This window comes from Homo sapiens, chromosome X (genome assembly GCF_000001405.40).
Source record: "Homo sapiens chromosome X, GRCh38.p14 Primary Assembly".
Lineage (NCBI taxonomy): Eukaryota > Metazoa > Chordata > Mammalia > Primates > Hominidae > Homo > Homo sapiens.
The window spans coordinates 14,717,592-14,732,885 of record NC_000023.11 but is presented as its reverse complement, the minus strand read 5'-3'; the positions used below and the strand labels follow the sequence as shown (position 1 = coordinate 14,732,885).

Below are 15,294 nucleotides of genomic sequence, written 5' to 3'. Positions count from 1 at the left end.
TAATTAAACTAAAGAGCTCCTGCACAGCAAAAGAAAATATCATCAGAATCAACAGGCAACCTACAGAATGGGAGAAAATTTTTGCAATCTAGCCATCTGACAAAGGGCTAATATCCAGAATCTACAAATAACTTAAACAAATTTACAGGAAAAAATCAACCCCATCAAAAAGTGGGCAAAGGATATGAACAGACACTTCTCAAAAGAAGATATTTATGTGGCCAACAAACATGAAAAAAAGCTCATCATCACTGGTCATTAGAGAAATGCAGATCAAAATCACAATGGGATACCATCTCACACCAGTTAAAATAGCGATCATTAAAAAGTCAGGAAACAACAGGTGCTGGAGAAGATGTGGAGAAAAAGGAATGCTTTTACATTGTTGGTGGGAGTGTAAATTAATTCAACCATTGTGGAAGTCAGTGTGGCAATTCCTCAAGGATCTAGAACCAGAAATACCATTTGACCCAGCAATCCCATTACTGGTATATACCCAAAGGATTATAAATCATTCTGCTATAAAGATACATGCACACATATATTTATTGCAGCACTATTTACAATAGCCAAGACTTGGAACTAACCCAAATGCCCATCAATGATAGACTGGATAAAGAAAATGTGGCACATATACACCATGGAATACTATGCAGCCATAAAAAAGGATGAGTTCATGTCCTTTGCAGGGATATGGCTGAAGCTGGAAACCACCATTCTCAGCAAAGTAACACAGGAACAGAAAAACAAACACCGCATGTTCTCACTCATAAGTGGGAGTCGAACAATGAGAACACATGGAGTCAGGGAGGGGAACATCACACACCAGGGCCTGTCGGGGGGGTCGGGGGCTAGGGGAAGGATAGCATTAGGAGAAATGCCTAGTGTAGATGATGGGTTGATGGGTGCAGAAAACCACCATGGCACGTGTATACCTATGTAACAAACCTGCACGTTCTGCAAATGTATCCCAGAACTTAAAGTATAATAAGAAAAATTTTCAAATAAAAAAATGAGATAAAGTAAATATCTACATTTTAATTCAAAAATGAAAACGAAAGCCTCTAGAGAAGTTTGCGGCACACTTAGCTTTATTGAAATTGAACAAATGCTTTTTAAAATAACCCCTTGTACAGCACATGTAAAATTTAATTATTATATTTTTACAGGTTGTCTTTTATCTGAGTAAGCAAAAATACGTCTTTTTTTTTCTTACTTAAAACATGTAGCCAGAATTCAAACCACGTAGCTCTGGTACCAAAAAGGCAACGGGTTATGAAAATCACAGTACAATTTTAAAATTCTTTAAGTTAGTTAAGGATATTTAAAACAATGTTCACTTATATTGACTGACAGTAGAAATCATGGGTCAGTTGACATTAGGACTAGTAGTTACACCTACAATGAGAGCAGAAATGGAAAGTTCAAGCTGACCTGAGCTACACTGTTCAGGACACACCATCTCCATAAATACTGTAGCTGAGTAGCTGCAATGACTAGTCACAGTTGGGCGATTAAAGTCACGTGTAAATATAGCCAAAGCAAAAATATATATATAATGCACTAACTTGGATATAAAATAAAGTGGGCATTTATTAAGAGGGTACACTATCAAATTAATTACACAATACACAATTTAAGTTTCAAAATTTTATCTTGGAAAGAAAAATATTAAAATGCACACCTATATGGACAGTAAAGTAGAAATTTTTCTGTCATTGGTGTTTATTTTGTCATTGTTATTTACTGGATAAGTAGAAATAATTTACGACCCACAAAAGGCTTTCTCAAGTGAAACACTAATTACAGACATTGTAAAGAACATAGCTTAGGAGGCTTGTTTTAAAAACGAGGCAGCATTTTCCTGAAAAAGTTTGGTCCTCGACTCACTATAGGCTAGTCACTATGGTCAGATGGTTAAGCATTTTTGAAGTTTGTGTGTGTGTGTGTGTGTGTGTGTGTGTGTGTGTGTGTGTGTGTGTGTGTGTGTGTGTATAGCTAACTTTTCAGTACCAGAATTAGTCAAAGCCAAACCAAACCAAAAGGACCAAAAGGCAAACAGCCCTTAAGAACTTGACCCCGCATATCATGTCTGAATGATGCGCATATCATGTCTGAATGTTGCGCATATCATGTCTGACTGAAAGAACAATGCTAAAGATTATGGAAGGGAATTATTATGCTCCCGTGATTCTGCAACCCCTTAATTTTGTGCAGTTTTCTTCATCACCCATATAACTTGTCTTTTTTTTCATGTAGGTGCCAGGAAACCCACCCCCATGACCCTCCCTCCCCCCTCCCTCAATCTTCTCCTCTGTCAAAGTGATATAAAGACAATTTCACTGTGTATTTACAAGCACAACACTGAGGCAAGAAGGTCCCAGGGTCTGTAGGGCACATCTATTTCTTGTGGACATCTTCATGCCGAATGATCTTGTATGTGATCCAGTAAAAGATGTTGAAAATGAGGAAGGCCAATGGGAAGGCAGCTCGAGATATCGTGTCAATCCTTTTTGCCCGGTCCACAAACTTCTTCTTGATAGCATCTCCATCTTTTGGCGGTTGTGGGAGTGGGTTGGCAGGTGTGGCCTTGACAGCTGTTCCATCTTTCACTTGGAGGCAGTGACCCATCCCATAACCGCTAAAATTAAAACGACTTTCACGAGTAACGTCTTCTTCCTGACGGAATAAAGACAGAGGAAGCACAGATTGGTTGTCAGTCAAGTTAGATGGAAGATGCTTAAAATTCTTTAGAAGTAAAAGGATAAATCACAGTTAACTGGTGGTGTGGGAGGCTTTTGGAATAGCGAGTTCTCTTTCAAGTTCAACTCAATTATTCATGGAACAGATACAGTTGATTAACTTTTCAGACTGAGAAATTAAGGGTAAGAATAATGACTGTGGTCATTTTAATTAATTAACAAACAGAAACACCTACATTATATTCAGTACTGACTTTCCCAAAATCTAGTTTATTAATCCCTAGATATGAATAGAGATTTTAAAGCAGTTCTCCAAATCCCAGTGTTACACTGTAAGTCTATGAAGAGGACCATTCATTCATTCATTCATTCATTCAGAAAACATTTACTGAGCCTGTGCTGTGTGCCTGGCCCTAAGGAACCTATAGTATTGTGGTTCATTCACAGCGCAATTCCCCCATTAACATTAGGTTTAATGTTGATGTTACATCTAAGGTGAGCCCCTTATATATATACCTGTTCCCCCTCCAGCCCTCTAGTTCATCTCATTTATATAGCAGAGATTAAATATTCATTAATAATTTAATTTTTCCAGTGTTGATTTTTAACATTGATTATTTGGCTGGTGAATCATTTCTACCATATTTAAATGTGTCATTTTAGCTGATGTCAGTGATATTTGTATGATTATTTCTACATAAATTAGATAAAAGTCTGAAAAATTGTATTTATTCCTTGGTGTAAAGGACAAATAGCCTTAGAGAAAAATGTATGGGATCTGGGTATGTGTTTGGGTCAAAGGAGGGGGTCAAACGGTGGGGTTGAAAAGGTGGGGTTGAAAAGCTGGGATTGAAATGACTTAACTGTAAACAGCCATCAATTGAATTATCTTCTTCTGTAACTAGATTACTGCCTTCCACAATAACATGCAACTCCTCTGAGTCACCAGAGGCACTAAACTCTTTATCTTGCCAGATAATAATAATGGTTATGTTTCCCAAAAGACAAGGAAACTTGGTATTAACTTTATTTCATTAATGCTTACTGAATGTCAGTAGTGTCTTCATCCACATATAAAAGGTATACTAAATGAAGGACTTATAATATGAATGACAGCCTAAGTAAAACTCAAATGGTACAACAAGGACAATTTGTACCTTGTGTACTTAAATGAGTTTTGTAAGTTCAACAGCAGATCCCTGGAGAGGTAAGGAAGGTGAGAAGAACTATTTCAGTTAATTACACTTGATCATGTGCAAAATGGGGAGTGAAAGAGCAGGTAACAGTTTAAAGAGTGGTGCAAGGACTTCAGAATAGGTAGATTAGATTATAGTATACGTGCTCAGAGGGGAAGCTGCAGAACCTGCAAGGCAGAACAGATTTGCTTCTATGTGGCTCATTTAGCTAAATTAGTGTAGTACCCAGGTGCCACCTCCCTTTGTGGGAGATACATGCAGCCTGAAAATGAAGAAGAGTTCAACGCAGTCCTTGAGGCTTTTGATTTATCGACATTGCCCATTGTGATACAGTATCTCTGGTGAAGCCAGCCCTAAACATGGCTGAACATTCCATTGCAACCTGGCAATGACTTGGAATTTGAGCTGGAGAGATAGCAAGTGTGAATAATTGCCAAATATTCCATGTCATCCTTCGCCATGTAAATTTGATCTCTAGGAAAATCAGGTGGGAAAACAGAAACCTCATTTGCTTGATACATTAGTAGGTTTTATTAATGACTGCACCTAGTGCTTCCAATAAAAAATTAATTATAACCTTTATTATTATTATTTTTTGAGACAGTCTCACTCTGTTGCCCAGGCTGGGGTGAACTGGCATGATCACGGCTCACTGCAGTCTCAACCTCCTGGGCTCAAGTGATCCTCCCGCCTCAGACCCCTGAGTAGCTGGGACTACAGGTATGAGCCACCATGCCCAGCTAATTTTTTGTTTAACTTTTTGTAGAGACGGGGTCCCACTATGTTGCTAAGGCTGGTCTTGAACTCCTGGGCTCACGTGATTTTCCTGCCTCGGCCTAGTTGTAACCTTTAATCAGACCATTATATCACAAAAATCAGACCAAAGGTCTTTAAAAAGTAACTATAAAACTACTACTTTATAAAGCCATCTTTCCATACTTTTATTTATATGGGATTATCCTACACAAGTTGGCTAAAGGCACTCTGTCTCATTTCTTAACAAAATATAATAAAGGATTTTTAATTCAACCATTAATTGTTGAGTGTTGCCTCTGTGACAAGCATTGTACTAGGTGCTGGGAGACAATTGATGAAGTTGGACAAGGGCTCTATCTGCATGGAACTTTCAGAATCTGGTGGAAGGGGCCAAACTAAAGGTATTATCATATAAGGAAGTCAGCAAACAAAATCCAGCCTAACATCGGAGTACTTCCATGTGCTCAGTTATATAAACTCGATAATGAAGACTTAAAGTGGGACTCAGATTCAAATATTAAACCTGTTTTCTTTGCCTTAAAAATATGAATATTTTATGGATGCAAAAGTTTTAAATAAGTGAAGCCTTTCAAAATGTGGAATAACTGGATATATTAATTATTACAGTGTCATCAGTGTCCTCATAACTATCTGAAGACTTACTCAGTGCTTAGCAAGAAAAGGAAGCACATACAGGTCATTAGGAGGAGGGGACTTGTTATAGGCAGTCTTGGACTTCCCAACTACTACTAATTGGTAATTAGATCTCAACCAGTGTGAAGTAGAAATGATGCCAGTTGGTTTAGTAAAGAGAGATCCGCTCTGGGAATTTGGATATTTCTGTTCTGTGCCTGCTCCAAGGCTTATAAGCTGTGTTGACCTTAGGCAAGCTACTTATTCTTTCAAAGCCTCAGGGACCTCATGCCAATAATGTCAAGGCTGAGCTGGGATCTGTGGGTTTCAGCTCTGGCTGCTGGGGAACTTTTACAAATACATGTATGCCTGCCTCCCCTCCCAGCCCTTTCTAGACCAGTCTCTGGGGATGAGAACTTAGGGTCTATTTTTTTTAAAGATCCAGTGACTCTAATGTAAAATGTTGGAAACCACTGGTCTAGATGAGTTCCGATGTCCATCTCTAAAATGTACAACCTATTCTATATTTTTAAGTCTAAAGTTACTATTGAAATAGAAACAACCCCTCAAAATACCTTTCTCCTTATCTGCTCAAATTTACTGTGCTGTTTTTTTCCTTTGCGTATCTGCAGAATCTTGCAAATTACAGCTCTCACCTCTATAAACCTTTAGAAACTCATGATTAAGCATATAGTTCACCGCCTCAGTAAGATAATGTTCTTTTAAATTCTGAAGCCCCTAAAGAAATAGAAAGGGTATGTAGGTAGTAAACTATTTTTAGCACACAAAAGGAAACTTAAATATACATGTCCACGTGTCTTTTCAGATTGACTCATTCATTTAATTTCTATAGTCTTTCATCACATACTGTGAATGGACAGCTAAAAAGATTAACTCATTCAATTAACAGAGCTAGAATAGAAGGATGTCAGGTTAGAATCTCATTATATTGTACATCGTCATGCAAACTGTGGGGGCTTAATAAATGTTTGCTGAATAATGAACAAAAGGGAATTTTAAGAGGGTTTTCCCTATGCTTGAAAATACTTTCCTCATTCATTCAACACTATTTCAAATTATGCTTCTGAGCATAGTTATAGCTAATTTAATCAATTCTTTAAAATTCTCTGCCACAAAAATAAACCTGTTGTGAGTAAAAATTATCCATTTAAGGTTTTATGTGCAGGAGGTATGAATGCTAGTTTAAGGGTCTTCTTATTTACCATTATGATGCATTCAATGCCTTTTAAATATAGAACTTTATGGTATTCACATCAAAGGAGATGGTTTTGATTCTGAAAACATAACTGCAACCAATTTGAATTTTTTTGTGTTATAATAAATGACTAATTGCCTTTCTAGCAGGTTCAGAATAAAATGTTATGGTAATATGACAAGATTCCTATATGAAATGAGCTTGAGTCATGGATAAACTGAAACTAAAATAAAGAACAATCTGTAGCCACAGCTGAGTTGAGCATATTTACAGGTAGACTCAGTTAGGTCCTTCCAGTAAGGAAATAATTAATTTTAGGCATATATTCTCCATTTCTTCTGATTAGCCAGAAACTCAATTAATTATCCATCATCTTCCATCTTTAGTAACTGAGCAATAAGCACTTCTAGCTGACCCTCTTTTGTTATTCACTGATTAGTTAAATTCTCACAGAAAATGAATCATCCAGTCAAGGTTTCAACACATGCAATTTTTATATCGCACTTTGATAAGATCTCCTTAATCCCGTCTGCTGTATAAAGCACTGCCATGGCACTGTGCAATTTGCTTGAAATTTATTATCTAATTTTATGTATTTTATGCATCAGTTTTACTTATTGTAAAATTTGCTCATTCCTGTGTTTAGAATAATTCTTGTCTAGATGGGAAATTGACCTAAAGCTCACTGGAGTTGCATTGTAGTGAATTGTTTGTCATAAGCAAATGATTTCAATATAATTAAAGAACATGGCACTTACAGATGAAAAGATTTTAGCAGAGTCTATATTTGTAATTTTTCTTTTATTCTTGAGAAAGGAGGAAGTAAAAGGACTCCTAAAAATCTTTCCATCGCATTTCTCACCCAGATTTTTTTATTGGACTGAGCCTCCTTTCTGTTGGGACAGGAAATTTCTCAGTTGGAACTGAAGGTTGTAGTGAGTCTCACTCAATGCAAGGACATAATGGACTCTCCAGTCTGTCTTAGGAAGCAATATGTGTCCAAATACAGTGGGTTTTCACTGAAAAAATCTCCCAAGCAAATGATGGTTGAATGATGCTTAATCACAGACCTGGATATAAGAGGAATGGCCTTGGGAAATTTTCTTCAACTGTTAAGGCTTCAATTTCCTCCTTTGTATCATGGGTACTTTGGGAATAGACATGAATAATAAATGGATAGCATTTATTAAGAGTCTGTACCATTCACTTAAAACCATGGTCAGTCCTGTTACTGAATTGATCTTTCAAGTCACATATTTCTTGGGGAAACTGAGGCCAAGAAAAGTTATGTGGCTTCCTATAGTTATAGTGCTAATAAATGTTGAAGCTGAGATTCAAATCCAGGTCTGTCTGATTCTAAAACTGATTCCAAAGTCTCTGGGTTTGATTTGTGTACGTTTTTGCCCCTATCAAATCCCAAATGGCTTCCATTATCAAATCCCAAATGGCTTCCATTCAAGATTATGAATGAAGAATCTGACTGAGCTTTGCAGAACAACAAAGTTGAAATAAACTAAACCAAATATAGCCCCTTGTTGCTTAATGACATGTGCTGAAATGAATTAAAACTGTCAAAGTGTCATTTTGGGCAGATTGTGAAAGGCAATTTTTCCAAAAGAAAAACATGTCAATGTATTATCTCTTTCTCAGTGCAGCATATTTTTATCATTGATTTTTAAAGAAGAAACTTCCAGGATTTATTTATTGAGCAACTGCCATTCTTCTTCTTGTTTTTTTTTTTTTTTTTTTTTTTTTTGAGACAGAGTTTTGCTTTTGTCACCCAGGTTGGAGTGCAGTGGTGTGATCTCATCTCACTGCAACCTCTGCCTCCTGGGTTCAAGTGATTCTCCTGCTTCAGCCTCCCGAGTAGCTGGGATTACAGGTGCCCACCACCATGTCCAGCTAATTTTTGTATTTTTAGTAGAGACGGGGTTTTACCATTTTGGCCAGGCTGGTCTCAAACTCCTGACTTCCGGTGATGCACCCGCTTCGGCCTCCCAAAGTGCTGGGATTACAGGTGTGAGCCACCATGCCTGGCTTATTTCTCACATTTTTAACAAATATTTATTGAGTACCTATTATGTGCCAGGTACGTGGTAGAGTTACAGCAATGAACAAGAATACAAAAGTCTCTGATTTTTTGGAATTTACATTCTAGAGGGGGAAACAGTAACAAGTAAACAAATTATACACACACACAAACATATTTATACATATACACACATATACATATACGAATGCATATACACACAAGACACACACAGATAATGATGGGTGCTTTGGAAAAAAATAAACAGTTAAGGTAAGAGACTTAGGCAAGTGGCATAGAAGGGAGTGTTTTAGATTGAGTGGTTGGAAAAGGCTTGCAGAGATGCCAGGCACTGTGCTATGTGCCGGGGATCCAGTGGAGAGCAAAATAGATTTGATTCTTGCCTTCAAGGAGTTTGCAACCTTGAGATGAAGGGAAACAATAAAGTAATCACATGAATACATAATTACTAACTATGATAAGGGCTCTGAAGGAAAATTATAAGATGCTATGAGAGCTTACTAAATGGGGTCCTGGTCTAATCTGACAGATAAGAGAAGCTTTTCCCCTAGGAAGTGATATTTCATTAGAGATTTAAAAAATGAGAGGCATTAAAGAGGTGAAGGCAGGGTTTGGCAATGTCTGAGATAGGAGGGTTTGCTGCAATTGAGGGATGCAACTGAGGCCTGGAATACAGGGGGAGTGTGGAGTGAGACAATGTTTCAGAAATGAACCAGGGGCTACATCATATAGGGCCCTGTAAACCAGTGTCTGATGAAGCTTTATTTTGAGAACCAAGGGGAGCCATAACTGGCTTTTAATGGAGATTGCATGACATAACCAGATCAGCATATTGAAATAAATCACTTTGGTTGCCATGTGGATGACTGCCTAGAGGAACGCAAAAGTGAATCCAAGAAGTTACAAAGCTACAGCAATGGTCCAGATGAGAGATGATAATGATTTGGATTTAATGGGTGGTGGTATAGGTAGAGAGCAATGTGCCAACTAGAGACATAGAGGGGCAATCAACAGGTCTTAGAGATGGATTGGAAATTGTCAAGGTTAACCTCCAGCTTAAACCACTAGATGGATATTAATGCCATTCAATGAGAAAGAAGACACCAAAAGAGGATCACATTAAGTTTGGGGAAAATAATACGATTGAGGTGCACTTGAGACATTCGAATAGATACATGGGGTAGGTGATTGATTGCAATGGACAGTCTGTAACTCAGAGAGATCTCAGCTGGAGGCATACACTTGGTTATATTTTAATGCATGACTGGCAGTCTTTCTTTTCAACCCCAAACTGTTTGCAAGACAAAAAATACTGAAGGTGACTTATGCTAAAATCAGCCATTAGCCAATACAGTTAAAATTATTCTTTTAAATACTTTTCAAGTTTTACCCAGATAAGGCAATACTTGTAAATAATTTTGGATTCAGAATAAATCTTTGCTCTGATGCTGAGGATAAAATGAAATTATAAGTATCATTCTGCATGTCAGCTAAGTATTCCAAAGGAAGCTTTATGGAGTAGCCATGGTTTAGGTCAGCTGGTGGGATCCCCTACACTCATTCTGCAGGGCCCTCTCAAACTGGTCTGTGGATAGCATAGTGGCATGTTGGCAAGGCAAAGAGAAGAGAAGCAGTTCCCACTTCTTTCTCCTCTGCATGCTTCCATATGTCATATAGAAGTCACAGACTGTATTATATTGTGTTTGCCAAAGATAGCCACAACAATATCTCCCATCCCATATGCTTTTTTCTTAACAGTATTATCATTGACACTCTTTCCATTGAGACATGGGGTCTGTATCCCCTCCACTTGAGTCTAAGTGGGCTTGTGACTTGCTCCTAATCAACAGAATTTGGTGGAAGTGACACTAAGTAACTTCTAAGTCTAGGTCATAAAAAGTGATGAAGCTCCAATCCTGGTGTGCTTGGAACCATGAGCCACCATGTCAACTGTCTGACTGCCCTGAGACCACCATGCTATGAAGAACTCAAAGTAGCCCATGTGGAGAAATCACATGGAAAAGCCCTGTGAGTACATGAAGAAAGAATGATGCCTGCCCAACTCCCAGCTGTTCCAGCCCCAGTTACTGTCTGACTGCACCAAGAGGAGAGACCCCGAACCACAACTGCCTAGCTGAGATCTTCCCAAATTCTTAACACACAGAAAGTGTGAGAGATAATGAACTGCTTGTTATCGTTTTAAGCCACTAAGATGTTGGATGATTTATTATGCAGTAATAGATAGCTACACAGATAATTGATGCTGTATCAAAAACTGAAATGTTGTGGCATTATCTTTGGGACCAGGCAGCAGGCAGAAGCTGGAAGGCCCTCAAGGAGGTTGTTGGAAGACTGGGAGGAAAGAAAGGCAATTGCTGTGGAAAGCTGGAGGATGGGGAAAAGTTTACCAACATTGTTTCCTGTGGTAACATGGAAAATAGAAAATATACTTAATAAACCTCATCATCTACCTAAGGAGATTTCCAGATAGAGCACTGAGGATGCTGCTTGGCTTTTAGCTGCTGATACCAAACTGAGAGAGGACAAAGAACTGAAGAACAGGCCATTAAGTGTCCAAGTAGAAGTTGGAGGAAATGTAAAGGATCCAGAATAAGTCTTTTCAGCCTGCGAAGGGTCCTCAAATCAGAACAGGCCTCAGGGGAAAAAATCATATACAGGGTGGGACTGTACGATTCTTTGTTAAAACCTGAGAAATATCTAAAGCAGTACCTGATAAGCTCTTTCAGACAGGCAATAGGTCTTATAAGGATCATAAGAACATGCCTTACAGATTGTCTCCTCTAAACAATAAGCTTCTACGAATATTAAGGGTGTTGGGCCACACAGCATACTCACAGGGAGCCTAAGATAACAAGGGCTTATAATTGATAAATAATAATTGTATATATTTATGGAGTATAATGTAGTGTTTTGTTGTGGAATGATTAACTCAAGGTAATTAACATATCCATTACTTCACATACTAATCATTTTTTGTGGTGAGAACACTTAAAATCTATTCTTTTAGCAATTTTGAAATGTACATTATTATTAACTATAGTCACCATGCTATGCAATACATCTCTAAAACGTAATCCTCCTAACTAAAACAGGGTTTATCTTGAAAATATTTGTGAGTATAGCTTTTGTCTAATGAAGTGGATTATAAATTTATATATAAACCCCAACAGTATTTTTTTTTTTTTTTTTTTGAGACAGGGTCACACTCTGTCACCAAGGCTGGAAGTGCAGTGCCATGATCACAGCTCACTGCAGCCTCGACTACCCAGACTCAAGTGATCCTCCTGCCTTAGCCTCCCAAGGTGGACGGGTCATGTGCCACCATGTCTGGCTAATTTTTTTGTAGAGGTGGGGGTCTCACTATATTGTCCAGGCTGGTCCCAAACTCCTGGACTCAAGCAATCCTCCCATCTTGGTCTCCTAAAATGCTGGAATGACAGGCATGAGCCAACATGCCCAGCCCTGCCCCCAACAGTTTTTAAGGAATTGTATGTTTGGACTGAAAACAACAAAGATAGTATAAAATGAAAGGAGGTCTTTAGACTCCTAATCTTTTAAAGACAATAAATAGACTAAAAAGGTTACTCAGTGGCAAACAAGTGCCCCTTCTTATAGAAAAAGAAAGATGTTTCAAATAGCAGAATAAGAGTCCAGAGAGCAGACCCAAAAACTAGAGAGGACAACCAAGGAATATATCCCCCAAACAAGGATCTTCCAACATGGACCTTTCTAGGTCTCAGAATTCCTGTTAACTAGTGACTGCTGTGTGCCTCTTGTTCCCCCTATTTTTGAATGGAAGAGTCTATAACAGTTATCCTCTGTATGTCTCCATATTGTCTGTTGAGTAAGTGGAGCAGATACCTTGTCTCTTTAGTTCCCAGGTTTTCATTTTTAACTGTATCCAAAATGCTTAACCTGAGATGCTTCATTTGACTTACATGATGAGATCCTGAGTTTTGAGCTACATTTAAATTTTTAAATATATTTTAATGGACACATAATTGTACATGTTTATGAGGTAAGGGTGGTATTTCAATACACGTGTACAATGTGTAATGATCAAATCAAGTTAATTAGTATATAAATCACCTCAAAACTTAATCACTGTGTTGTGTTGATAACATTCAAAATCCTCTCTTCTAGCTCTTTGAAAAAAATACAATAAATTATTGTTTACTGTAGTGCTATAGAATACTGAAACTTGTTCTTCTTATGTAGCTGTACTTCTGTATCTGTTAATCAAACTGTCCCTATTCCTCACTCCTTTCTACCCTTCTCTTCCTCTAGTAACCACTATTCTACCCTCTACCTCTATGAGATCTACTTTTTCAGCTCCCAAAAATGAGAAATTGTAGTATTTCTCTTTTTCTGCCTGACTTATTTCCCTTAACATAATGTCCTCCAGACTCATCCATACTATTAATGACAGGATTTGATTTTTTTAAGACTGAATAGTACTCCATTATGTATGAACACTACATTTTCTTTATCCATTTATCTGTTGATGGATATGTATGTTGATTTTATGTCTTGTCTTTTGTAAATAGTGCTGCAGTAAATATGGGAGTGCAGATATCTCTTTAACATACTGTTTTCCTTTCCTTTGGATATAGAGCCAGTATTGGGATTGCTGGATTATATGGTATTTCTATTTTTAGCCTTTTGAGCTATACTGTTTTCCATAATGGCTGTATTAATGTACATTCCCACCAACAGTATATAAGAGTTCCCTTTCTTCTGTATTTTTGCTAGCATTTGTTATTTTTTGTCTTTTTGATAATAGCTATTCTAACTGGGGTGAGATGATATCTCATTGTGATTTTGATTTGCTTTTCTCTGATGACTAGTGATGTTCAGCATTCTTTCATATACCTGTTGGTCATTTGTATGTCTTCTTTTGAGAAATGTCTATTCAGATACTTTTTCCATTTTTAAATTGGATTATTTGGATTTTTTGCTGTTGAGTTGTTTGAGCTCCTTGTATATTTTTGATATTGATCCCTTATTGGATGAAGAGTTTGAAAGTGTCTTCTCCTATTCTTCAGGTTGAGCTACATTTTAGTTCAATACCTGTAATCAATGTTTCACCCATTGAAGTCTTTTATAGGTCATTAATTATTTCCCCTTACCCAGAAAATAAAATAAAACACCAATAACAAAAAACAGCTTTCTATTTTACTATTCCTGTAGGTGTGCATTTAATATTGGTGGTCTTGGAAAAGGGAGTGAGCATATTTTGCACGTGGGAGGGATGTGAATTGTTGTGCGAAGAGGGTGGACTGTGGCAAAATGTATTTGTCAAAGATGGCCACAACAATATGTCCCATTCACATGGTTTCTTCATTGTGACTTTGAAGCTCTTCCTACTGAGAGTTAGGGGTCTATGTCCCCTCCCTTTGAATCTGGGCAGGCTTATGTTTGCTTGTAAGTAATAGAATGCAGTGAAGATGACACTGTATGACTTCCAATGTTAGTTCATAAAAGGCAATGCAGCCTTGCCATGTTCACTGGTGCACTTGGGCCTGGAGTCTTGGGACACCATATAAAAAATCCAACTACCCTGAGGCTGCCATGCTGTGAGGAAGTCAAGCCACATGGAAAGACTATGTGTAGGCACTCTGATGAGCAGTCTTAGTCTTAGAGTTTTCCTAGCCTAGGCACCAGACATGTGGACAAACAAGTCTACAGATGACTGACTCCTAGCTGTCAAATAATCATGTGTCTTTGAATCGTCTGAGCTAATATGTCAGACATCATGTAGTAGAGACAAGTCATTCCTACTCTGCCTTTTACAAATTCCTGAGCATAGTAAGATGGTTGTTTTGTGCCAATAAGTTTGAAGTGGTTTATTCAGCACAGTAACTGGAACAGGCTATTTGAGTCATCGTTGTGCCAAATATTACACTTTCAATAGCTAGTTATCTAAACCTAGAATTCCTGCCATAAAGTAAGATAAATATTACAAATATATGGGATTGAATGTGTTCCTGATTGACCACTGGTTGGCTTTTCAAATTTAAAAGTAGGACTAAAAATGCCAGTCTAAGTACAGTGTTGGTGAAAACTGCTCTGTAAGTCATGCTAGGTAAACTGGCTAGTGGCTCTCTGTGCAGTGAGCTGCCTGTATCTTATCTTAGTCACTTGAGATACAGCATCACTGCCTAAGGCTCCTATATCCACCCTACTATAGGAATCAATCATATCCCTGAAGAACTAGCAGCACTATAATGTAATGTCATATTGATAGAGAATGTAACTTCTGCTTGAAAAATAAACATCTTGACTTCATCTCAGTAATGATACATTAGCAGGAAACCAATGTCGTACCCGACGACATTCTCAGGGGTACCATTTCAGAGAATCACATTTACTCATCAGCCTATCTCTCCTCTGTTATAAAACCAAACACAAGTGTGCTTCCTTTCAAAATAAGTATCTGAACCATATAAAAGCAATAAATCAGTGGATGATTTCTTTGAAATTGGATTCATAACTGAGTAATCTAATGCGTGCTCAAAAAATTCTTGATAAATCCTTGTTTATTGACCGATGGGTTTTTTTTTTTTTTTTTACTTTACAGAAGGATCTTCCAGTTGCTAGTAAATCCAAGCTCATCTAATTCATGATGTACTCCATATAAAGTGATTTATACTTAACCTTTTCTATAATATCTGCATTCCACAGAGTTGAATGTACTCATAACTATATACAACTCTATGA

General features: G+C 37.6%; 2 protein-coding genes across 12 annotated transcripts in view; one reads left to right on the top strand and one right to left on the bottom strand.

The window, feature by feature from the left end:
- The window catches only part of FANCB (FA complementation group B), a 183,546-nt gene that overhangs the window by 140,184 nt on the left and 28,068 nt on the right, over nt 1–15,294 (top strand). The window lies entirely within an intron of this gene.
- GLRA2 (glycine receptor alpha 2) overlaps nt 1,074–15,294 on the bottom strand; it is a 283,034-nt gene continuing 268,813 nt past the window's right edge. For all 8 annotated transcript variants that reach the window (XM_047441999.1, NM_001171942.2, NM_001118885.2 and 5 more), the window contains one exon: nt 1,074–2,679. In XM_047441999.1, coding sequence (XP_047297955.1) covers nt 2,401–2,679 — 279 coding nt within the window. In that variant the 3' untranslated portion in view covers nt 1,074–2,400. The remainder of the gene's footprint in view (nt 2,680–15,294) is intronic.